General features: G+C 40.2%; 1 protein-coding gene across 18 annotated transcripts in view, besides 1 other annotated feature; it reads left to right on the top strand.

Annotated features, from left to right (window-relative positions):
- Positions 1–26452, top strand: part of HNRNPC (heterogeneous nuclear ribonucleoprotein C) — a 60296-nt gene that overhangs the window by 7514 nt on the left and 26330 nt on the right. For 2 of the 18 annotated variants that reach the window (XM_011536712.3, XM_011536708.2), the window contains exon 3: positions 25469–25556. The exons of the other annotated variants lie outside the window; for them this stretch is intronic. The gene's annotated coding sequence lies outside the window, so the exon portion shown is untranslated. The remainder of the gene's footprint in view (positions 1–25468; positions 25557–26452) is intronic. 18 annotated transcript variants of the gene reach the window in all.
- Positions 6682–7619: an enhancer, noted in NCBI's record as "H3K4me1 hESC enhancer chr14:21722469-21723406 (GRCh37/hg19 assembly coordinates)". NCBI's record gives its function as "activates a minimal SCP1, AML or CMV promoter by ChIP-STARR-seq in naive and primed H9 embryonic stem cells {active_cell/tissue: H9 hESC(naive and primed)}" and the evidence as "EXISTENCE:reporter gene assay evidence [ECO:0000049][PMID:30033119]".

Here is a 26452-nt window from a genome sequence, read left to right as displayed (position 1 = left end):
AAGAAGGAGTGTATTCTGTGTTATTCACAGGAATGGTGTAGAGATTAGTAAAGATGTGGATAGCCAAAGAGAAGTTGAGCAACCCGTAGTATTTTACTCACTGCAGCAAAATGTTTTGATAACCATTTTAGAGTTGCTCTGATAGGTTTCAAGCTGGGAGATAATTAGATTTTATTTTAAAATATTTCTATTTTTTGTAGAGACAGGGTCTCGCTATGTTGTCTAGGCTGGTCTTGAACTCCTGGGCTCAAGCGATCCTCCTGCCTTGACACCCCCAAAGTGTTGACATTACAGGCATGAGCCACTGCACCTAACCTGGAATAATTTTTTGAAGGCATATTCGGTACTGTTGTACTAGGGTAAATCACAAACTTGCCCCCTTATACCATACTCGGATGAAAAGTGAAATCTAGTTAAAGTGAACACCAGAGGTACACTCAAAACAGAATGGGAGAAAAAGCAAAAGATTCCTGGAAGTTATCTAGAAAAAGAATGGGAATCTTTATTTTTTAAATAAGTGCAAGTTTTATTGATGCTCTCTATTGTATGAGAGCTATTTTTTCTTCTTTGCTGCTGTCAGTGTACGGAAGCTGTTCACTATAGGTTCAGTTTGATTTATTCCTTGTTAATTCTACAAATTTATTATTTTTATGGGACATGTTGTGTTTGGGGATATAAAAAATAGTTTATTATGTTTAAGGGCTTCGCAGCTTAGTGAGGGAGACACATGAATGAAATAATGTCCATATATGATGAGAGGTAAACACATATCCTATAGAAGCATGCCAAAATAAGCTGGGGGCGTTGGTACCTGCCTGTAAGCCTGTAGTCACAACTAATTGGAAGGCTGAGGCAGGAGGGTCCCTTGGCCCAGGATTTGAGAGACTGTAGTGTGTGATGTGATTATCCACTGCACTCCAGGCTGGGCAACATAATGAGACCCCATCTTTTTTTTTTTTTTTTTTTTTGAGACAGTCTCGCTCTGTTTCCCAGGCTGGAGTGCAGTGGTGCCATCTTGGGTCACTGCAACCTCCACCTCCCGGGTTCAAGCGATTCTCCTGCCTCAGCCTCCCGAGTAGCTGAGACTACAGGCACGGACCACCATGCACGGCTAATTTCTGTATTTTTAGTAGTGACGAGGTTTCACCATGTTGGCCAGGCTGGTCTCAAACTCCTGATCTCATGGTCTGCCCGCCTCGGCCTCCCAAAGTGCTGGAATTACAGGCATGAGCCACTGCACCTGGCCTTAAATTTTTCTATTTTTAGTAGAGACAGGGTTCAGTAGAGATGCCATGTTGGCCAGGATGGTCTCAAGTTCCTGACCTCAGGTGATCCACCCGCCTCAGCCTCCTGAAGTTTTGGGATCACAGGTGTGAGCTGCCGCACCCAGCGAGACCCCATCTCTTTTTAAAAAAAGAAAGCATGCAGAAATGGTTACCTAACTAACCCTGAGAGGTCAGGGAATCCTTTTTTTATTATTTTTATTTATAACTTTAAATTTATAAATTTATTCCTTCTACCTTAATCACATAAAGGGATTTTTTTTTTTTTTTTTTTTTAAATAAGACGGAGTCTCGCTCTGTCACCTAGACTGGAGTGCAGTGGTGTGATCTTGGCTCACCACAACCTCTGCCTCCTGGTTTCAAGCAGTTCTCTGTCTCAGCCTCCCGAGTACCTGGGATTACAGGCACCTGCTACTATGCCCGGCTAATTTTTTTTTTTTTTTTTTGAGATGGAGTCTTGTTCTGTTGCCCAGGCTGGAGTGCAGTGGCACGATCTCGGCTCACTGCAAGCTCTGCCTCCCAGGTTCACGCCATTCTCCTGCCTCAGCCTCCCAAGTAGCTGGGACTACAGGCGCCCGCCACTACGCCCGGCTAATTTTTTTGTATGTTTAGTAGAGACGGGGTTTCACCGTTTTAGCCGGGATGGTCTCGATCTCCTGACCTCGTGATCCGCCCGCCTCGGCCTCCCAAAGTGCTGGGATTACAGGCGTGAGCCACCGCGCCCGGCCCACCTGACTATTTTTTATTGTTTTTTTTTTTTTTTGGTGGAGACAGGTCTCATTTTGTTTCCCAGGCTGGTCTCAAAAACTCCTGGAAGATTTTAATTTTTAGGAATGTCTTTCTAATAACAGTATGGAAATGGTGTAGAGGAAATGAGATTGGAAGTAGGAGATTAATAAAGGAGATATTAAAATCCAAGAAAGAATAACGACCTGGCTTGGACAAAGGTAATGCTATGAGATTAGAGATTAGGAGGTAAAATTAGGAGCATCTCAGGATGGATGTGATAAGGTGGACAAGAACACAGATTTGGCATGATTGCTGGTTTCTAGCTTCTGGGATAGGGATAGATATTGGGGAATGAATGAAGGGAGCAGATTATAGTTTGAGGGTGGGAAAAAGAATATTTTAAACATCTTGGAGGTATTCAAGGAACATTCAAGTATAAGATGTTTTATTAAGTATCTGAGTACTATTTGAAAATCATTAGGTTTGGGCATATAGGGATGAACAAAACATGTCCCCTGCCCTCTTAGATATTATAGATCATTGAGGGAAGAAACAAAGTAAATGGCACTTTTCACAGTAAGGATCGATGAAGGAAAAGAAGAGCGTGGATGAGAAGATGGCAAGGGAACCAAAATTAGAACATGGAATTTGGGGGATGCTGCCAGGGAAGCTTAGCTACGTGGAAGTAGCTAATGGTGAAGCTCATTCTGTAAGAAAACCATATGTGAAAGCACAGATAATGAGGGGGAACAAGACTTGGCCTCCAAGTAAGAAATAATACTGGAAAATAATTACCAAGAATACATAGATGAGGGATGGAGTTAGAGAGGTAGGCAAGGACCAAACATTTCATAGCACGGGACCTTAGAGGGTCTTGTTTAAGATCCTGTCTTGGGCACAAGTAGAATCTATTGAAGGATTTTGAAGAAGAGGTCTGGTTTATCTTCTGTTGTGTAGGGAATATTAGTGATGAGAACTAAGAGGGCAAGTAGGGCAGTAAGTTTGGAGACCTATTAGAGTAGGCCACTGTCTCAATCTCTTGAAGAAAATAATCATCCCAAGCCTAACAATAACTTGCCCTGGTTTTTCAAATGAGTTTTTATTGGGTGTATTAATGAGCAAAATCAGTCTGAGTAAGATAGGTTGAGAACTGATGAGGCTCCAGGAAATTACTAATTATTTCTGATACCTTGTTGGGTCATATAATGGCTTTCTGATTTGGCAGAAAAAAGTAGCAGGACATTAATTTATGGAAGTATTCTAAACACTTGACTATGTCCAACACTGTTAAAGTTGTGAGTTTGTGTTAACTTAATCATCATCAAAACCTTGAGTAGGAGTAGATACTGTTATTCATGTTTTAGAGGTGAGAATATTGGAGTACAGAATTTAAATAACTTGCCTAAAGTTAAACTGCTTTAGTGGTTTAGCATGGATTCAACCCTGGGATTAAGGGTGCAGATTTCAACACTTAATGATAGTAGACTCCTTTCGTCACTTTGATATGTTGAACTTTTTTTTTTTTTTGAGACATAGTCTCGCTCTGTCACCAGGCTGGAGTGCAGTGGCATGATCTCTGGCTCACTGCAACCTCCGCCTCCTGGGTTCAAGCGATTCTTGTGCCTCCGCCTCCTGAGTAGCTGGGATTGCAGGCATGCACCACCACACCCAGCTAATTTTTATATTTTAGTAGAGATGGGGTTTCACCATGTTGGCCAGGCTGGTCTAGAAATCCTGACCTCGTGATCCGCCCACCTCGATTTCCCAAAGTGCTGGGATTACAGGCGTGAGCCACTGTGTCCGGCTGAGCATTCTAGAAAAACAGATTTTAGTTTGGTTAAAGTTCCAAAGAACAACTTTGGACTTTTATTATTAAAATTTTAAAACTAAATATGTTTATATTTTTGCCCTTGATTTCCCAACACCTTAAATGGCTTAAAGATGTGTATATGTGCAAGGTAGTTAATGTTTAGGTAGATGTATCTTGGTAAAATGTTACCATGGTTGTGATGGCATTGTTAATAGGGAAGCAAGCACATTTTAAAAGTGAGCTTTAGGCCAGTTGCAGCAGTTTATGCCTATAATCCCAGCACTTTGGGAGGCTGAAGTTGGAGGATAGCTTAAGGCCAGGAAAGTCTGGCAACATAGCAAGAGCCTGTCTACAAAAAGCTGGGCACGGTGGCACACAGCTGTAGTGTAGCTCCCTGGGAGGCTGAGGCGGTAGAATTAATTGAGTTCAGGAGTTTGAGGTCAGTGTGAGTTATGATTGCGCCACTGTACTCCAGCCTGGGTGACAAGAGTGAGACCCTATCTCTTAAAGTAAAAAAACAAAAGTGAGCTATCTTTTTTTTTTTTCTAAGACTTATAAAACCGAAGTGAACTTCAGTTAGAAAAAAATTATTTGTGGTTAAAAAAGAACCACGGAGACGGATGCATTAACTAAGCCCAGGGGTCCTTTTTCAATCCTCATCTCACTTGACCTGTTGGTTCCATTTAACCAGATCTCTTCCTTGAAACGTTTTTATTTTTTTTTTACTTTGCTTCCAGGTTTTTGTTACATGTTTCTGTTACATGTTAAACTTCTTTCTGTTGGAGTGCCCCATGGTTCAGTCCTTCCACTTCTCTTTTCTGTCCACACTCTGGGTCCAATTTCATTCAGATTCATTCATGATGTAATATACCACCTATAAGCTGATTTCGACACTTAAGATCAACAGCCTATACTTTTCTTTCGAATGTCATACCAATTCAGTTTACCTGCATGACAACTCTGTTGAATATCCAATATGTCAACTTAAAAGTGCAAAACTGTGCTCCTGATGTTCATGCCTCAAACCAGTCTCTTGTGTACTGTTGCCTTTTTCAGTTAATGAAACAATTTTTGTGTCTCTTGGGCCAAAGATTTTGGCTAGCCATCCTTGACTTTTACTCTTCTCACCTTTGGCCTATTAGAAAATCATGTTGGCCAGGTGTGGTAGCTCAGGCCTGTAATCCCAGCACTTTGGGAGGCTGAGGGAGGCGCATCGCTTGAGCTCAGGGGTTTGAGACCGGCCTGGGCAACATGGTGAAACCCTGTCTCTTCAAAAATATACAAAAATTAGCCAGGAGTGGTGGCAAGTGTCTGTAGTCCCAGCTACTTGAGAGACAGGCATGAGAATCGCTTGAGCCCAGGAAGCAGAGGTTGCAGTGAGCCGAGATCGCACCCGCACCATTGCACTCCAGCCTGGGTGACAGAGCAAGACCCTATCACAAAAAAAAGAAAGGAAAAAATGCTGTCAGCTCTTCAAAATATACCACTACTCATACTGTCGACACTTGGTCCAATTTCAAGCCACCCTTGTCTCCTGTGCATTATTATATATAATAGGTTTGTATTTCTTTTGTCCCTCCCCACTAGTTTTGTTCTTAAAAGTGATAGCTAGATTGATCCTAAAATGTATTGTTTGAAGGATTTTTTTTTTGGGGGGGAGATGGAGTTTTGCTCTCTTTGCCCAGGCTGTAGTGCAGTGGTGCGAGCTCGGCTCACCGCAACCTCTGCCTCCCGGGTTCAAGCAGTTCTCCTGCCTCAGCCTTCCAAGTAGCTGGGATTACAGGCACCAGCCACCAAGCCCAGCTAATTTGTTTTTTATTTTTAGTAGAGACAGGGTTGCACCATGTTGGCCAGGATAGTCTCGATTTCTTGACCTTGTGATCTGCCCGTCTCTGCCTCCCCAAAGTGCTGGGATTACAGGCGTGATCCACCACGCCTGGCCATTGAAAAATGTTTTGCCTGAAAACAAACAACCTAATGGCTGCCTTTTTCAGCATTGAAGTCAAAAATTTTTCTGTGATTTACAGGGCATCCCACGTGATTTGTTGTGTCCCTTCCCTTGCTGTTAATATACTGTGCTTCAGCCACACTGGCCTTCTTAACTGTATTGAACACATTGGATATGTTTCCACTTTAGGGCTTTTCCTTGGAATTTTCTCTGACTCATACAGTTTGGTTCCTCAGTTCCTCTGAGACTTTTTACTCAGAAGCTACCCCCTTAGTGATGTGTCTTCCCTTATTTAGCGCTTTAAGCTCCCCTTCTCCTAAATACTCTTTAGCACTTATCACCAACTGTAGAATTTGTTTTTTTCTATGTAAAGACATAAGAGATATGTCCAGAAATACATATGCCAAACAATTAACATTGATTGCCTCTGGGCAAGAAGTGGGATTTAGGAGATTTGAAACTTGTGTACTATGTGCTTAAGACTATTATAATGATCAATGTGGTAGTATTTTCCTTCTAATTAAAAAGCTTAAAAATGTACATCAACTCTTGTGATTCTGTGTGGGCATAAATAGCATAGCTAGTCTGTGTAATAGGGGTTTAGTAAGCAGTGTTAATAGTTGAAGAAACTGCTTTAAAAGGTTTAGCTGTGATAGAGTCGAGTTAGCATTTGAGCACATAGACTACCGTGTTGCCTGTATCAACATTTGGGAGAGCTTGACCATTTTAAAAATATGTATTCTCTACTGAGAAAGCATGGCTATTTGTAAGAGGTAGAGTGAATTAGAGAACTTTTTTTTTATTATTTCTACCTAATCTGATTCTGACTTTACCAGTCTGAAATATTCTTCCTGTTTTCTAATTATATTGACCTATGGCTCCTGAGTTGATTTTAAAACTGAAAAAACTCCAGGAGTTCATTGAACCAGATTTAGGCTTTTCTGGCTAGTCTTGAATAACATTTAGGAGTTTAGTAGAGTACATTTTGAACAAAAATTTTCCTCCAGTCCTCTAACTAAAATAGGTATTCTGAAGAGGATAAACTATTCATAATGCATTGTCACTCCCTATATTGATCCTTTAAATAAAATCTTCACATAAGTGGGTTTTCTAGCTTCAGAGCGAGAAGAAAAGTTTTCTCATGCTATTACCCTTAAGTTTGTGGAATTCATGCTAGAGTTATGGCTATGCTGTTTAAAATGGAGTTTTTCTGGTTTTTTTTTTTGTTTTTTTTTTGAGACTAGAGTCTCGCTCTGTTGCCCAGGCTGGAGTGCAATGGCACGATCTTGGCTCACCGCAACCTCCGCCTACCGCAACCTCCGCCTCCCGGATTCAAGTGATTCTCCTGCCTCAGCTTCCCGAGTAGCTGGGATTACAGGCGCCTGCCACCACGCCTGGCTAATTTTTGTATTTTTACAAGAGACAGGGTTTCACCATGCTGGCCAGGCTGGTCTCGAACTCGCGACCTCAGGCAATCCGCCCATCTCGGCCTCCCAAAGTGCTGGGATTACAGGCGTGAGCCACCGCAGCTTGCTAAAATGGAGTTTTATTACTCCTTTGAAAAGGAATACTAGTCAAGTGACTGAAGATTGATGTGGATTTGGGAGAGGAGGTACCTCATCTTTATCTTACCTTTGATCCGAATAAAGTAATACATGCTCATAGAACATTTTTAGAAAATACAGCTATCCAAAGATAACATTTGGGGTGTTCTTCCAGGCTTTTTGGGGCTTATATAAACTTCAAAAAGCACTGTCATACAGCATATATATTTAAGTAATAATTTTAAATTTAACCTGAATAGCTTATGTTAGTAGATACAGATCTCTGAAAAATTTGTAGTAGTTACATAGTATTATATACTCTATAATACTACATGGTACATTGTATACTTGTACTATATTTTATTTTACCAATACACTGTTGTACTCGTCCCCATTTTTTCTTTTGTAAACAAAGCTTTGGACAGTCAAAACTACAGTTGTGCATATCTTTATTTTCTTACATTTAAGCCCCAGAAATATAATTATTCAAGGGTATGCACATCTTTTTTGCCGGGGAGGTGGGCAGAGTATGCACTTTTTTTTTTTTTTTTTTTGAGACGGAATCTCACTCTAGCCCAGGCTGGAGTGCAGTGGCATGGTCTCACTGCAAGCTCCCTCTCCCGGGTTCATGCCATTCTCCTGCCTCAGCCTCCTGAGTAGCTGGGACTATAGGTGCGTGCCAACACACCCAGCTAATTTTTTAATTTTTTTTTGGTAGAGACGGGGATTCACCGTGTTAGCCAGGATGGTGTCGATTTGCTGACCTCGTGATCTGCCCGCCTTAGCCTCCCAAAGTGCTGGGATTACAGGCCTGAGCCACCGCGCCTGGCCGCACATTTTAAAAAGTTCTTAAGTTTGTTCTCCAGAAGCTAATAAGTTTAGCAATTTATTGGCAGTGTTAGCGGCCACTAATACTTAATTTCTAGTTTTGTGAATTACTTTGGATCTTTTGCTTTAAGATTTGACCCTGTATTATTCTGAAGGATTTGCTAAGTTTTTAAGTTGAATAGTAAAAATGTTGATAGATTTTGAGTGAAACATTGATACAATGTTGTCTATATTTCTGTGTATAGTTTGAGATTCACATGTAATTTTTGTTTTCAGGTGCATGCACATCTTTGGTGCTATCTTTTTTTTTTTTTTTTTTTTTTTTGAGATGGAGTCTAGAGGTTGGAGTGCAGTGGCGTGATCTCTCTCACTGCAAGCTCCGCCTCCTGGGTTCACGCCATTCTACTGCCTCAGCCTCTGGAGTAGCTGGGACTACAGGCATCCAGCTAATTTTTTGTATTTTTTTTTTTTTTTAGTAGAGATGGGGTTTCACCATATTGGCCATAATGGTCTTGATCTCCTGACTTCATAATTCACCTGCCTTGGCCTCCCAAAGTGCTGGGATTACAGGCGTGAGCCACCGCGCCTGGCCAGTCTTTTTTTTTTTTTTTTTAAAGACAGAGTCTTGCTCTGTTGCCAGGCTGGAGTGCAGTGGTGCGATCCCGGCTCACTGCAACTTCCACCTCCCAGGTTCAAGCGATTCCCTTGCCTCAGTCTCCTGAGTAGCTGAGATTACAGTTACGCTCCACCACGCCCGGCTAATTTTTGTATTTTTAGTAGAGATGGGGTTTCACCATGTTGGCCAGGATGGTCTTGATCTCTTGACCTTGTGATCTGCCGGCCTCGGCCTCCCAAAGTGCTGGGATTACAGGTGTGAGCAACTGCACCCGCCTGGTGCTATCTTTTAATTGTGAAAAAATTTCACATACACAAAAGAGAATAGTATAATGAACTTCCATGTACTTGTCTCACTTTAATAATCCTTGGCCAGCCTTTTTGTTTGTATCTACATCTCCCCATCCACCCCCTTCCCATGTTATTTTGAAGCAAATTCTTGATACATTTCATCTGTAGATATTTCAGTGTGTATTTTAAAAAGAATTAGGACTTAACCACAATTATCCCACCAAAAACGTTTAATAAATTAACTATTTTAATACTAAACATATTTAGAGGCCTGGCATGGTGGCTCATGCCTGTAATGCCAGCTCTTTGGGAGGCCAAGGTGGGCACATCACTTCAGGCCAGGAGTTCGAGACCAGCCTGGCCAATGTGGTGAAACCCTGTCTCTGCTAAGAATACAAAAAAATTACCTGGGTAGGGCAGTGCATGTGTGTAATCCCAGCTACTTGGAAGTCTGAGGCAGAAGGATCCCTTGAACTCAGGAGGCAGAGGTTGCAGTGAGCCAAGATACTGCCACTGCACTCCAGCCTGGGTGATATTGTGAGACTTAAAACAAAAACAACAACAAAAAAAGACCAACAAGTCCATTTAGTATCAGAAGTACTACCCTGAGAACTGAGTAAGGCATTCCTCAATGCTGTTTTATTTCTACGGGGATAACATGGTTGGTGGGGTCTTTTTGTTTATTTGTTCTTTTGCTAACAGTCCTGTATGGAATTTTGGAAGTGTTGTTTACTAAAGGTAGGTTTTGAAATTTTCTTAGGAGTTGGGGGTCTTATGGTTATACTCATTGGTGATAAAAATCAAACCTTTTACTATTCTCAAATTTAGATATAATCTCCTGTTTTGGCTGTTTAAGAGAATACTGTAATAACTTTAAGCCAAATATCCTTGTTAAAAATTATTCTGGGCTGCTAGGTTATTATTTTGTTATACCTGTCTAAAATCTTATCCATAATTTAGAAATTTTAAAATCTCTGACAAATTTTGCATTTGACACCAAGACTCAATTTGGCAAAAAAAACTGATCTTAACTGATGTGAGATTATTTATGTTCTATGTGTGAAATTTACTGAAAATTTATATGTATTCCTGCAGAAATATTTGATGTGGTAACTGTGCTCTCCCAGATGCTACACAACAAAAAAAGCATAGTATTTCTAAAATCTGAGACTATTTTTCCTAATACGTGTGTCTTTTTTTTTTGAGACGGAGTCTCTGTTGCCCAGGCTGGAGTGCAGCGGCGCAGTCTTGGCTCACTGCAACCTCCACTTCCCGGGTTCAAGCAGTTCTCCTGCCTCATCCTCCCAAGTAGCTGGGATTACAGGCACCCACCACTACCACGCTTGGCTAGATTTTGTATTTTTAGTGGAGACAGGGTTTCACCGTGTAGGCCAGGCTGGTCTGGAACTCCTGACCTCAAGTTATCTGCCCGCCTCTGCCTCCCAAAGTGTTGGGAGTACAGGTGTGAGCCACCACACCTGGCTGCAAGCATTGTAGACCAGAGTAGACTTAAAGTATACTTTGTTACAACTCATGCTCAGTCTGAGGTCACTGATAAAATTGAAACTTTCTGTAAGATAACAAGGAAATGAAGTCTTTTTTTTTTTTTTTTTTTTTTTTGAGAGGGAGTCTTGCTCTGTTGTCCAGGCTGGAGTGCAGTGGTGCGATCTCGGCTCACTGCAAGCTCTGCCTCCCAGGTTCCCACCATTCTCCTGCCTTAGCCTCCCGAGTAGCCAGGACTACAGGCGCCCTCCACCATGCCCGGCTAATTTTTTGTGTTTTCAGTAGAGATGGGGTTTCACCATGTTAGCCAGGACGGTCTCGATCTCCTGACCTCGTGATCTACCCGCCTCGGCCTCCCAGAGTGCTGGGATTACAGGCGTGAGCCACCGCGCCCGGCCGGAAATGGAAGTCTTGAGAATGAATGTTGGCCCTTTCTATTCAGAAAATAGCCTGTGCTCCAGCATAGCATCATCACCATCTGGGAGCTACCTAGGAATAGAGTCTCACCCTACCCCAGTGGTACCGATATGCACATTGAAAAGAACGAATCTAGAACACTTTTCACTCCTTTTTTATTACTTGGCTTGGGAATTACAAATTTCGGTGGACTTTTTGGCAGGAGTGGTTTTTGATGTTTGTGGAGAATGTTGAAGACTACAGTGTAGCCACATTTACTTTACATTGGAAATAATACAATATAAAACATGACATTTTATTTGCAAAATTTGAAATAATGACTTCTAAATTACAAACAGAATTAAAAATTTCAAAGCTGGCAGGCTGGAGATACATATGCTGTTCTGAAATACGTGCTTTGAATTATCTGAACTCTTAATGCAGATCATATATCTTGGCGTGATATAACCATTCTTGGTTATGAAAGCTGAGATTAACATTCAAAATACCTTGTGAATCAAGGTAGATCTGTCATAGTTATAATTTTTTTCCTTGAGTGTTTTAAGGAAAATATGTAAACATACAGAACAGTCTAATGAATTCTTAATATACCTTCCACCAGGATTGCCATGTTTCATTTTATTTTTTTGCTGAACCATTTGCAAGGAAATTGCTGACTGAAGACAAAAGACCCCTAAGTATTTAAATGTGGATTTCTTTTTTTTTTTTGAAGTGGAGTCTCGCTCCGTTGCCCAGGCTGGAGTGCAGTGGTGCGATCTCGGCTCACTGCAACCTCTGCCTCCCAGGTTACAGCAATTCCCCTGCCTTGGCCTCCCGAGTAGCCTGGACTACAGGTGTGCGCCACCACCTCCAGCTAATTTTTGTATTTTTTAATGAATTTAGTATACAGGTAGTCATACTAACCATGCTGTTATTTTCATTCATATAGATTATCAGTTATATTAGAAATAAGACCTTCCTGTGTTTTATTATTTTTGCATATTGCATATTCTCTTGATTCAGTTCTCAGTAAAGATGTATTGACCTTACTGAAGTCATTTTGAAATATTAAATCTTAACCTAGGTAAAGCATTCTTTAAAATATTCCTGGTGTTTGTTGGATACTTACAGATTCTGGAACCTTTCTTTAAAAAGTGTTTTCCAAACAGAAGTTGCTCTACGTTAGAGTATGATGGACTTTTATGTCGTAACACCCCCGAAACACTTTAATGATGGCACAATGAAATGTGAAGGTTGAGAATGTAGAGAGAAATTTCTATGTAATTTGGGACTTCCAATGGCTAATAGACCCCAAAATATGTAATACAATGTTCAGTGAATCTAGAGGTACCCAATTCATTGATTCTTTTTTTTTTTTTTTTTTTTTTGTTTTTGAGACACAGTTTTCGCTCTTGTTGCCCAGGCTGGAGTGCAGTGGCGAGATCTAGGCTCCCTGCTATCTCTGCTTCCCGGTTCAAGCAATTCTCTAGCCTCAGCCTCCCAAGTAGCTGGGATTACAGGCACGTGCCACCACACCTGGCTAATTTTTTTTTTTTTTTTTGTATTTTTAGTAGAGATAGGGTTTCACCATGTTGGTCAGGCTGGTCTCAAACTCCTGACCTCTGGTGATCCACCTGCCTCGGCCTCCCAGAGTGCTGGCAGGATTACAGGCGTGAGCCACTGCGCCCAGCCCCAATTCCTTGATTCTGTTTAGTTCTGAATTGCTCTTGGGGAAGAGAAGGGCCCAGTTTTTGCTTAGGGTTTTGCAGAAGAGCTTTGCTGACTCAGTTATCTGTGTATCATGATGACTAAGTTTCAGGGTAGCATTTTGCTATCTTTGCAGAAGGAAAAATTACAAAAGCATTATGTATTATTAGTGAAAAGTTGAGAAAAATTTAAAAAACTCAAAACCCCATCCCATCCTTAGATGTCACCTTGGTATGTAATCTTCTAGATAACTTGTACATACTTTGGTTATGCTCCTCCACGTCAATGTCACGTGTCATTTAAATTGCATTCCATTGGATTGCTGCACTGAAATAATTTGTACTCATTGTCAGGCACTTGTTTTCTCCTTTTTTACTGTTAATGTGTCCACACCATTGTTTCTTTCAGATGAATTCTCAAAGTTAAAATTACTGAGTCAAAAAACACGCAGTTTTAAAACTTTTGATGTAATGATCCCGTTTTCTGGAAATGCAGTATGGGTTCATACGGACCATTTATTTTGACCATTGCTTGCAGTAGACACTGTAATTAAAAATGTATTTGCTTGTTTGGTAGGTGGAACATGGTACTTGGTTTAATTTATATTTCCTTGATAGTGTTAATCTTTTTAATCTTCATATACCTTTAGTATTGTTAGTCACCTGTTTGTGTCCTTGGGCCATTTTTTGTTGGTATGTGCCAATAACAGTAAATGATAACAGTAGCAGCAGCGGCACTTGTTAAGTGCCAGTTACCATCTTTTCCAGTGTTTTGTGTACCTTGTTTCATTTATGCTTCATTCCTATCCTGTGAGACAAATACTATCAATGATACTCATTTTACAGATAAGGAAGCTGATTTTCAAAGAGATTGACTTCCCAAAGAAAGTGCATGCCACTAGCAAGTTGTTGATCTTGAAACACATGTGTCTAGGCTGGTTGCAGGGGCTCACGCCTGTAATCCCAAATTTTGGAGGCTGAGATGGGGAGATACTTGAAACCAGGCATTTGAGAGCAGTTTGGGCAACATGGCAAAACCCCGTCTGTACTAAAAGTACAACAAAGTTACCTGGGCGTTATTTTATTTTTAATTTTGGTGGAGATAAGGTCTTGCTTACGTTGTTGGCCAGTCTGGTCTCTTAACTCCTGGGCTCAAGCAATCTCCCACCTCAGCCTCCAAAAGTTTTTTGTTTATACTCTATTTAAAATGTGACCTCATTTTAAGGTTCGGTCATAGTGGACATGGCTTGAATTTGTGATGATACGGGTTTTTTTTTTCTTTTTTATGATGTAATCTTACTGCATCGCCGAGGCTGGAGTGCAGTGGCGTGATCTCGGCTCACTGCAACCTCCGCCTCCCATGTTCTGGCGATTCTTTCTCATGCCTCGGCCTCCCAAGTAGCTGGCATTACTGGCGCTTGCCACCATGCTTGGCTAATTTTTTTTTTTTTTTTTGTATTTTTAGTAGAGATGGGGTTTCACCATGTTAGTAGAGATGGGGTTTCACCATGTTAGTCAAGCTGGTCTTGAACTCCTGTCCTCAAGTGTTCCACTGGCCTCAACCTCCCAAAGTGCTGGGATTACAGGTGTGAGCCACCACACCCAGCCAAGGATAGGTATTTTTGTATCCACTTTCAGTTTACTTCAATTTGGAAGTATGAGTTACCTAAAATTTTGATTTATTTTTTTAAACATACTCAGTTGTGCTAAAAATGAAACCAGAGTGTAACTTTTCGGGGTACAAAAAATAGAAAACTAAACCAGAGTATAACTTTTCAGGGTACAAAAAATAATGTAGGACAGCTTCTTATTTGAGATTGACTTTACTAATTATTATTGTTCAAAAATTGAAATATGTCACGAAAAACTTTTGTATTGAAGGAAAATTCGGTAATGATGAGACTCATGAGGTTATGTCCTATCAGTGAAGGATACATAATTGAGAGGGGTTGTTTATACTTTACAGCAAAATCAAAGGCTGAAATTTTCTTAACGCTGGAGCTATATGTGATCTTTAGTGATTATGAACTAGGTAGAAGAGGATGAAATACGAACTGCTAAGCCCTGTACTTAATGAAAAGTCCAACAAGAGTTGTCAAAACATAGAGGTTAGGATTACATTGATAAATAAGGATTCTTATATTTACAGTTGACCCTTAACACAAGGGGTATTAAGGCACCAGCTGCCAGCACCCCCTCAAAAATAAAAAATCCACATATTACTTTGAACTCTCCAAAAACTTTACTGATGAGCTCCTGCTGAGTAGAAGCCTTACTGATAAAGTTAATTAACACAGATTCAGTATATTATACATTATATACTGTATTCTTACAAGAAAGTGAGCTAGTGAAAAGAAAAAGTTATTAAGGAGCAGAAGATATATTGACTTTGTTAAGTAGAAGTAAATCATCACAAATGTCTTCTTCATTGTCCTCACATTGAATAGGCTGAGGGGAAGATGAAGGCTTGGTCTTACTGTCTTGGGTGGTTTAGGCTGAAGAAAATCCATGTATAAACCCATATTGTTCAAGGTCAGTTGTAATTGTTCCTGTATGTGTTGACAGTGCCAAAGTAAACAGAAAAGTAGCATCTGGAGAGCATCCAGATTATTCCTTTCTTTTCCAAGGGAACTCAAAATTTGGAGTACTGTGTTAAAGGGAAATTGGCAGACTTTTATTTGTTATAAGACGACTTTTTTTTTTTTTTTTGAGACGGAGTCTCACTCTGTCTCCCAGGCTGGAGTGCAGTGGCGCAATCTCCAGCTCACTGCAAGCTCTGCCTCCCGGGTTCACGCCATTTTCCTGCCTCAGCCTCCCAAGTAGCTGGGACTACAGGTACCCGCCAACACGCCCGGCTAATTTTTTTGTTTTTGTATTTTTAGTAGAGACGGAGTTTCACCATGTTAGCCAGCATGGTCTTGATCTCTTAACCTCGTGATCCACCAGCCTCGGCCTTCCAAAGTGCTGGGATTATAGGCATGAGCCACCGCGCCCAGCCTTTGAGGCATCATTTATTTTCATAGATGGCTAGGATGGGGAAGAGTTTGAATGAAATGTTTTGTCAAAGAAAAATATAGAGCCGTGTGCTGCATAGATGTTTTGGTGAATGACAGACCACATATATTATGGCCCCTTAAGATTATAATGGAGCAGGCCAGGTGTGGTGGTTCACGCCTGTAATCCCAGCAATTTGGGAGGCCGAGGCAAGCAGATCCCCTCAGGTCAGGAATTTGAGAGCAGCCTGGCCAACATGGTCAAACCCCGTAGTCAGGCGTGGTGGTGCACATCTGTGTTCCCAGCTACTCAGGAGGCTGAGGTGGCAAAATCGCTTGAACCTGGGAGGTGGAGGTTGTAGTGAACTGAGACTGCGCCACTGCACTCCAGCCTTAGTGACAGAGGGAGACTCCTCAAAAAAAACTAAAAAGTAAAAGAGATTATAATGGAGCTGAGAAATTTCTGTTGCCTAGTGACATCTTGCTGATCCTGAACACCTATAGGCTTAGGCTAATGTTTATGTCTTAGTTTTTTCAAAGTAAAAATGTTAGTAAACTAAATAAGGTTAGTATATTAAAGAAAAGAAAAATTTGTTTTACAAACTTACTGTAGCCTTAAGTGTACCATGTTTATAAAGTCCACAGTAGTGTATGGTAATGTCTTAGGGCTTCAAACCCACCACTCACTCAGTACAGTCACCAAAAGCAACGTTCAGTCCTAAAAGCTCCATTCATGGTAAGTGCTTTATATAGGTATACCGTTTTTGAAATATATATATATTTTTTTTGGCGACAGTCTCGCTTTGTTGCCAGGCTGGAGTGCAGTGGTGCGATCTCAGCCCACTGCAACCTCCACCCCCCGGGTTCAAGCGATTTCTCCTGCCTCCGCCTCGCGAGTAGCTAGGATTACAGGCATGCACCACCACGCTTGGCTAATTTTTGTATTTTTAGTAGAGACGCGGTTTCTCCATGTTGGTCAGGCTGGTCTTGAACTCCTGACCTCAAGTGATCCACCCACCTCGGCCTCCAAAAGTACTGGGATTACAGGCGTGAGCCACTGCTCCCAGCCCATTTTTGAAATCTTTTATACTGTATTTTTACTGTACCTTTTCTTTTTTGAAGTACACAAATAATATTGTGTTAGAACTTAGACTCAGCCCTTGTTTTCTCTTTTGCTTTTTTTTTTTTTTTTTTTTTTGAGATGGAGTCTCGCTCTGTCTCCCAGGCTGGAGTGCAGTGGTGTGATCTTGGCTCAGTGCTACGTCTGCCTCCGGGATTGAAGCGATTCTCCTGCCTCAGCCTCCTGAGTAGCTGGGACTACAGGCGCATGCCACCACGCCTGGCTAATTTTTGTTATTTTAGTAGAGACTGGGTTTCACCATATTGGTCTGGTTGGTCTCAAACTCCGTGTTGGGATTACAGGCGTGAACCACCTTTCCCGCCCTGTGTTAGAACTTCTTATAGTGTTCAGTACTGTGCATGCTATGCAGGTTTGTAGTCTGGGAGCAATAGGCTATACGATACAGGCTAGGTGTGTGGTAGGCTACACTATCTAGCTTGGTATTGGGTAACTACACTCTTACGACATTAACACAGTGACAAAATTGCATAACGATACAATTCTCATGCATTTCCCTGTCATTAAGCAATGTGTGATTAATTGGTTTACTGATGAATGTAATTCCAAGAATAGAGCTAAGGGAAGAATTAAAGAGTCAACTATGATTTAGAATCGTATATCATTAGATTGTGAGTTCTCTGACTTTGGCAATTCAAAAGCTCCACCATTGGTAAGTGAGAAAGGATACCTTAAATGGAATTTTTAGCATCTTTTGAGGGACCTCGGGGGAAATTAAATGACATGAATTAGTTTTTTACATCGAGATGTTTTAAGACCTTAATTTTTTATTTGTTGCATTACATCACTCATACATTGAAAGGAAACAATTTTGATTATAAAAGTGCTTTATAGAGAGAACTTGCGGGCAGGCGTGGGGGCTCACGCCTATAATCCCTGCACTTTTGGAACGTGGAGGTCGGCGGATCACCTGAGGTCAGGAGTTGGAGACCAGCTATGGTCAACATGGTGAAACCCCATCTCTACTAAAAGTACAAAAAATTATCCGGATGTGGTGGCGGGCGCCTGTAGTCCCAGCTACTCGGAAGGCAGAGGTTGCAGTGATCGAAGATCGCAACACTGCAATCCAGCCTGGGCAACAAGAGCTAAGCTTCGTCTTAAAAAAAAAAAAAACTTGGAGGAAATATGCAGATAAAAATAGTATTTACTCATTTACTTATGTCATCAGCACTCAGAGGTAACCACCATCAACATTTTTATGTTTTGTTCTCTGTCTTATGTAGCTACAGGTATATATATATGTATATTTTACTAATATGTAATTATTATAGTGTTAGAACCTCTACGTGGTAGATGTTTTCCAGTCAGTAAGTATTCTACCATGTTTTTGTTTAATGGCTGTCAAGTATCTTTTGTCACAGATTTATATAAAAGATTCAGTTCCAAGCAAACATGGAAGTACTTGAAATTGAATATCCTCAGTTGATTAATGAATACAGATATAGGGACCTACCGTCCCATTGCTTGATACCTTTTATTGAGAATTTTCATATGAGCCTACAAAACGTGTACTGGTTTAGTTAGTTAAAACAATGGAAATGCCAGTTTCTTTTCCTTCACTTCATTGCATGATCATTGTTACATAAGCAGATTTGACAGAAAAAAAGATGTAATCTTTTCTTTGGAAATTTGGTGAAGTGTGCAATCTGGTGTATATCATTTTTGAATCTGCTATATATAGCATCTTAAGAAAACTTTTGAACACAATATATACATACATAGAATAAACCATTCCTGTGTAAGCCCCACTCTTCGGATAGCAACTGCCATGTTTGTCCTCTACACTTTTCTCCTGAATGATTTCAAAGTTTGTTGACATGATACTTCAGCAAACATGATACGCACTGAAGTTAGGAGCTTCCATGTGGCTGCATCTCCTAAGAATAAAGGAAATACATGCCACCAAAATATTATCAAAAGAATAATGAACATCAATTCAGTAATTAAACAATTGATAGTAAAATTATCTAGATAAAAATGTCTCTTTTGCCCAGTCTAGTGTTCAGTCAGAATTCACACACTGCCCACCCCCCCACCTCTCCTTTTTGAGACAGTGAGGTGGCTTGATCTCCGCTCATTGCAGCCTCCACTTCTAGGGTTCAAGCAATTCTCCTGCCTCAGCCTCCCAAGTAGCTGGGACTACAGGTATGTGCCACCACACCCAGCTTATCTTTGTATTGTTAGTAGAGATGGGGTTTCACCACATTGGCCATGCCGGCACTGCTTTTTTAATCTAGAAAAAGGCCCCTAGTTTTTATTTTTTGAGGTGTCCAAACCAGTTGTATTGTGATTGCCCACAAACTTGAAATTGTCTGATTGTTTCCCCCATATATAGATTCTAGAAAGATAGCTTGGTGAGAATAATGCGTAGGTGATAATGCGTGTTTAAGTGTGTCACATCAGGAGGCATGCAATGTTAGGTTGTCCTACAACTTTCTAACTATGATCCCTTAGTTTAGGTTGAGACCTCCAGGTCTTCATTGTAAAGATACATTTTCCCCCTATGTAATTATAGAGTATCTGTTTGCAAATCCTGTACTCCACTCACCAAGTTTTACCTGGCGCTTTTAGCATACATCGACAGTACTCTCATATGTTAAATTGGTGTTAAGTCCTCACCAATGTAAATAAATTTTAAATAATGTGTCTTAACATCTTTTTGAGACGGAGTCTTGCACTGACGACCAGACAGGAGTGCAGTGGCACGATCTAGGCTCACTGCAACCTCCGCGTCTTGGGTTCAAGCGATTCTTCTAGCTCAGTCTCCAGAGTAGCTGGAATTATAGGCGCTTGACATCACGCCCAGCTAATTTTTAGTATTTTTTGTAGAGATGGGGTTTCACTATGTTGACCAGTTTGGTCTCCACCTCTTGACCTCGTGATCTTCCTGCCTTGGCCTCCCAAAGTGCTGGGATTACAGGCGTGAGCCACCTTGCCTGGCCCCACACCTTATTATTATTATATATGATTATATTTATGATCCATTTGTTTGGATTTCCTGCCATTTTTAAATTTTGTTACTCTTCCTTTTGAGAGTTGTTTTATTTCATTTGGGTTTTGACCTTTGCGTGTGCAGTTTTACACGATTTGTATTTATATTAGGATTTAGAGTGAGGTTGGTTCCAATTTTTGAAAAAGATGGCTACCTAGTAGTACCATGTATTGAATTATTCATTTTCCCACCATGATGTACAAGGTCTTAGGTATTCTTAGTTCTAATACTTAAACATAGCAGTTAACATAATGTGTTCTAAAAGTAGCCAACTTTGTTTCTTCATAGGCTGAAAATGTCTTAGTAATATCCCCAGGTATTACTGTTTTCTCAGAGATTACTCTCACAGTATTTACCTTGAGATACTGTTTTTGATTAAATGAGCTAATGATTCTTGGCAGTTCAGCAAATTAAAATGCACATATTTTTCCAGGCATTGTTGGCCTCTGAAGAGGCCAGAGGGAAGTAGTTGAAAGCAATAAGATCCATAGGAAGCAGGGTACAAAAATGGTGACCAGATAGAGAGTAATGTGGGATAGGGTAGCCGGACCTAAATAGGCAAAATAAGACTTGAAGTGTGTTCAACAACTTAGATCAAATGAAGATCATCCAAGTATGCAGAGGAATTTATAGTATCCAAAGAGTATTCAGAAACTTAAGAAATTGTGAATGACTGAAAACTTTGGAATACAGAAAATTTAGTAAACCTTTTAGAAAATTGACAACTCATTGCTGCCATCTAGTGTCACTTTTGTCTTTGAAATTCTGCAAAGAAGGGAAATTTTACATATATAGCATATTTAGTATATAGAATTGGCATTTAATTTGAATTGAATGCAGGGGCTACTTTAGGTTTTTTTGTTGTTATGGTTGTGGTTTTTTTTTTTTTTTTTTTGAGACATAGTCTTGCTCTGTTCCCAGGCTGGAGTGCAGGGGTGCAATCTCGGCTTACTACAACCTCCGCCTCCTGGGTTCAGGCAGTTCTTTGCCTCAGCCCCCCGAGTAGCTGGGATTACAGACGCCTGCCACCACCAATTTTTGTCTTTAGTAGAGACAGGGTTTCACCACGTTGGCCAGGCTGGTTTTGAACTCGTGACCTCATGATCTACCCACCTCGGCCTCCCAGAGTGCTGGGATTACAGGCGTGAGCCTTCGCACCTGGCCTAGTTGAGGTTTTAAGATACAGTAATAAAGGAAATTGTAAGGCAGGGTTTTGAATTTCCAAATCTGAGGTAATATATATTTTCCTTTGTCTCTAGTGTGAGATAATGTCTGGTAAGTGAAAGTGACAGCATGTTTAATTTTTTTCTCCTGGACCATTGGATAATGTGTTTTAAGTATAATGTGATTAACCCATGTGGAGAGGTGGCCAGGGCTTGCTGAAATAAATGCCCAGTAGAAACATCTTGTACTTTGTTTAACTTGTATACTTTTGCACTAAATAAGCCAAGATATACTGAAAACAGTTGGGTTGAACGGCACCTATCTCCTGTGACCTGAACTCTATCAAAGCTGGCATACAGTGCCCAGATAAAAAAGGAAGCTGAAGTCTTGACTCCATGTTCAAATTCATTTTGGCTCAGCTCTCAGCAAATTCCAGGGCTCTCACAACCTGTTTGTGGACCACTTGAACTTTATTTATGTAAAAAATCTTCAGATAATGCAAACTGCCGTACCTTTTCCAAGTAGAATTGAATTACTTGAGATTTAAAGTTAATGTAATGGTAATGAAGTATTTTTATAAATATATTTTCAAAATTTTAGCTAGATTGACAATCCAAGATTGGTTTCCCTCCATTAAAAGGGTGAAGAGGCATGATAGCACCTCACACTTACAATGAACAGTTGGAAATAAAATTTACAGTTTGGCTATATCCCAACTAGATAGAGTTTTTACTTATTTTTTGCTTTTAAGCTGTGGCTGGGATGGTGAGAGTGCGAGTAGAGGCAAATTTCTATATTCAGGAAATTTCTTGTCCTTCCCACTACTATTAAAATCTTGTATCGCTTTTATTGCTTCAGGATAGAGCATATGATAAAACAGACAAGCATATCAGACAAAAACACAGATTTTTGGGCATTAGAAATAACTTAGTATTCCTGGTTTTGACTTGTTTTCTAGGTAAAACAGGTCTTTTGTGATCCTTTGATTAAAAACAGGAATAAGAACCTGTAATGAAATTATAGTATATAATATACAAACGCATTTGTCCATGTGTGTAATAGAAATTTGAGTGCTAACCACTATTTTTCCGCTTTTTTTGTCCTTTTTCTCTCTTGAGACCCAGTCTCACACGGTTGCCAAGGCTGGAGTGCAGTGGCATGATCTTGGCTCGCTGCAACCTCCACCTCACGGGTTCAAGGGATTTTCCTGTGTCATCCTCCCAAGTAGCTGGGATTACAGGCATCCACCACCACACCCAGCTAGTTTTTGTATTTTTAGTAGAGACCGGGTTACACCATGTTGCCCAGGCTGGTCTCGAACTCCTGTCCTCAGGTGATTTGCTCGCCTCAGCCTCCCAAAGTGCTGGGATTACAGGTGTGAGCCACCGTGCCTGGCCTAATTTTAGGTTTTTAAAGTCTATCCTTTTCATGACAGAGCTTTTCATGACATGTTGAGTTTAAGAAAGAAATAGCACCTAAGGTTCTCATTTGTTGAGGACATTTTTTTTTTGAGGTAGAATCTCACTCTGTCACCCAGACTGGAGTGCAGTGGCGCTATCTCCGCTGACTGCACCTCTGCCTCCAAGGTTCAAGCATTTTTCCTGCCTCAGCCTCCCGAATAGCTGGGACTACAGGTGTGTGCCACCATACCCCGCTAATTATTTTCATATTTTTAGTACAGATGGTGTTTCACCATGTTAGCTAGGATACTGTCTCGTTCTGACCTCATGATCCACCTGCCTCGGCCTCCCAAAGTGCCTGGCTGGAAATGTGACTAAACTACTGCTTCACTTTTGAAGTATTTAACCTTCTGATTTACAAATAATGGAGGCTGGAATATTTGAACTGTATGTTTGTTTGTTTTTGAGACAGTGTCTCCTTCTGTTGCCTAGGCTGGAGTGCATTAGCACGATCTCGGCTCACTGCAACCTCCTCCCATGTTCAAGCGATTCTCCTGTCTCAGCCTCCCGAGTAGCTGGGACTACAGGTGCAGGCCACCACGCATGGCTGATTTTTGTATTTTTAGTAGAGATGGGGTTTCACCATGTTGGCCAGAGTGGCCTTGAACTCCTGACCTGATGTGAACTGCCTGCCTCAGTCTCCCAAAGAGCTGGGATTACAGGTGTGAGCCACTGCACCCAGCCCCAGATTTCTTAATGTTAAATCTAGTTCATGTAAATTAGTGCCATTTTATTATCTAACAGCATTATTCGACTATTACATACTAGTAAATGGTGATAGAGTAGGATCCCTGGGTTAGCTTGCATTAAAAAAAGAAAAATTCTAGACCCCTTCAACTAGAAGAGGGGAAATATGATGATGAGGGGCATTGACCTCAAAATATTTGAGTATATACAGGTGCATTAAGACTTGGACTATTATTACTAATGTGATTAACCTTTTAAAATTTCTACCAAATGGATTTTCTGTTTTAAGGAATATTTGTTTGGCTTAAATGAGTTTTTCCTACAGAAATCCCAAGCTTGTATGTACATTGTAGTGAATTTGGGAAATACAGAGAAACTGTGAAAATGATTGTAAAGATTAATCACAAGCAGAGTACCCACAGAACATTTTAAGATATTTTGATGTGTTTCTGTACTGTCCGTTCTTAAATGATTTTTATGTAGTTCATTTATGTCTCCTATGTATTGTACGTTTTCAGATACTATTTTTTTGACTCAAATTATAATTTGCACATCACTTGAAGTTGTATTTTTAAAAGACTATTATTGCTGGACATTTATTACTATTGGGTTGTTAGTTGTTAGAACTCGGTTATAAAAATTCATATAGAATATGACCAAGTAATTTAGATCTGTATGAGGCAAAAAGCAAAAGTAGACCTATTCATTCTACAAGTGGTTTTTACACCTTCCAGATGTAAAGGGAGTAACAAGGCAAGAAAATGGGATCAGGGCCGAGTGCAGTGGCTTTCACCTGTAATCCCAGCACTTTGGGAGGCCGAGGCAGGCGGATCACCTGAGGTCAGAAGTTCAAGATCACCCTGACCAACATGGAGAAACCTGGTCTTTGCTAAAAATACAAAATTAGCCGGGCCTGGTGGCGCATGCCTGTAATCCCAGCTACTGGGGAGGCTGAGGCAGGAGAATCACTTGGAACAGGGAGGCGTAGGTTGCAGTGAGCCAAGATTGCTCCATTGCACTCCATCCTTGGCAACGAGTGAAACTCCAACTCAAAAAAATTAAAAAAAAAATGTGATCAAGGAGTTTGTTTTACTTATCTAAACTATTGTACTACTATAAAAGGATGCTGGCAACCTGTTACATGAAAGAACTGAGGGACTGTTCTTAGGATTTCTAACAACAGTCTGCGTAACATGTTAAAAGTGGTGCTCGAGAAACCACACCATACTACCTAGAGAGAAATGGTATTGTTTAAGCATCAATAACACCACAAAAAGGTATTGCCACTTGTAGGACGAGGTAGTCTTGACAAAATATTGCAGATGAAGCTGAGTAAGCCTTGGTCCCAGCTGCTGCTTTCAAGAGTTACAGAAGAATATGTGGAATTGTTCTGAGAGTATCAATCCTGGAAAATACAGACTGGGAAACTACAAGTTAATACTGTGGATTCTTAAACAGATAAATTTTAACCTAATGCAATAGAAGCGGAACTTACCTACAAAAATGCTTCAAATGCATCACGTTTATTTTTCTGGGAAGACTAGAATGTCTATAGTTATACATTTAGGCATTAGAATTATTTTAAAAGTGAGAAAGTGCTAGTAAAGTCATAATGGTTGTTACCTTTTGGTGAGAGGAAGGGGGATTGGCAGTGGAATCAACCACATAGGGTTTGTTTACTTATGAGACTTTACAGGGATGCAACTGCTCTTGCACCTTCACACATTTTTATTGAAGTCCCTTGTGCTCACCCACTATTGGAGCAGGTGAAACTTCTAAGTTTTAACTGCTTTTCTAAAATTTCGTTCCTGTTGCTTTTCAATAAATAACTGCTGGTTATTTTGGTATTCTTGTATTTCTAAGTCTATTATTCTCCAAGTTGCTTACCTTTTATTTCTCCCACAGTCAGTGAAACCATATATGCTGGCTTGCCTTTACTGCCTTGCATTTTGGAATTTTGATTTAAATGCTGTCTGTAGGATAGTGATTTTGCCATCTTGAGTCTTATTTTGGGAGTCAGAGATTCAAAAACTACTCTGCTCTTGCTGACCCCTTCCAAGAATCCCAGTTCTTTTCCAGTAGTTTCTTTGTGTTACAGTATCGTCCTCCCTTTATGGAAATTTCACCTGTATGATACTTTAAAATTTTGAAGTAGAATGAAGTGTGACTTGACATCATTTGGTTATTTCTAAAACTTCAGGAAATGTACCTCTTCCATAAAATTTGAAGTAGCAATACCACTGGAATTTAAGGAAGCTCTCAGGACAGTCTTTGTTACTATTTGTGCCCTGGATTTTCCCTGAAATGTGGTACTCAGCACATGGTTAGTAAATATTTGATCCCCAAAATGAATGAATTTGTAGTGACTGTTCATTCCTTAGGAGGACACGTTACTAAGAGTGGAATTAATCCGTATTGTGAGTACGTCTGTCTTTACTGTTGCCTCCATCTTGAATTTAAGTCCTCATAGTAAGTATGGGTATTTTATTAATTTTAGGCAAACTTTGGAAGTTGGGATTTTTGTATTTTAAAAATAAGTAGTTGATGATTTTTGTAGCAAATTTAATAACCAGACCATAAAGAAAATGAGAAATCATATCCTTAAACTCATAACAACCATTGCTAGCATCCTTGTATGCCTGGATGCTTTTCTACTGAGTTTTTCCTTTGTGGATCTTTGAGAGAATTAAGGCCTGATACACATGAAAAATGCCGTGGGGTATGAATTCCTTGCATCTTGATTAGTACTAGCTATGTACTCAGACTTGTGAAAATAATACTAGCTATGTACTCAGACTTGTGAAAATTGAGAAAATGGTCATTTAAATCCATTTCTGTCTTATTCCAAAGGGTACCCCTTTCAATCACATCTGTATTTTTCTGCAAATGTCCATTTGGAACATTGGACTGTGGTTTGATGGGTTTTTTCCCTTATGGTCAGTATTCTGTGTTGGCTTACGGAGCCCCTCACCCCTGGTAATTTCTTCTCATTAAACCTATGGAGATTATATTTTCTATTGATAAACCTATTTGTGAAAAATAGTTGCTTAAAACCAGATTATACCTCCACTTGTAATAATGGGAAATCTTAATAACCAGCAGTAGTATCTGAAACCAGTTAGGCCTCAATGCAGATTTTTGTTTTAATTCCTCTTTTTAGTGTCCTCAGACTTTCTGGCATACTTAATAGCTGAAAGGCTGTTGGTGGATTTCAGTGGCTACTGTTTGTTAATTTTTATTGCTTAGTGTTAAAATATTAAGAAGTTTTTGTAAAGATATACTTTAGAAAGTAACAAAGACAGACTTTTGAATTTCAGAAAGATTTGGAAGGAAGTGAAGTTTTGTTTGAGCTTTTAAATCAGTAC

Source organism: Homo sapiens, chromosome 14 (assembly GCF_000001405.40).
Source record: "Homo sapiens chromosome 14, GRCh38.p14 Primary Assembly".
Lineage (NCBI taxonomy): Eukaryota > Metazoa > Chordata > Mammalia > Primates > Hominidae > Homo > Homo sapiens.
This window is presented reverse-complemented; position numbering and strand designations above follow the sequence as displayed.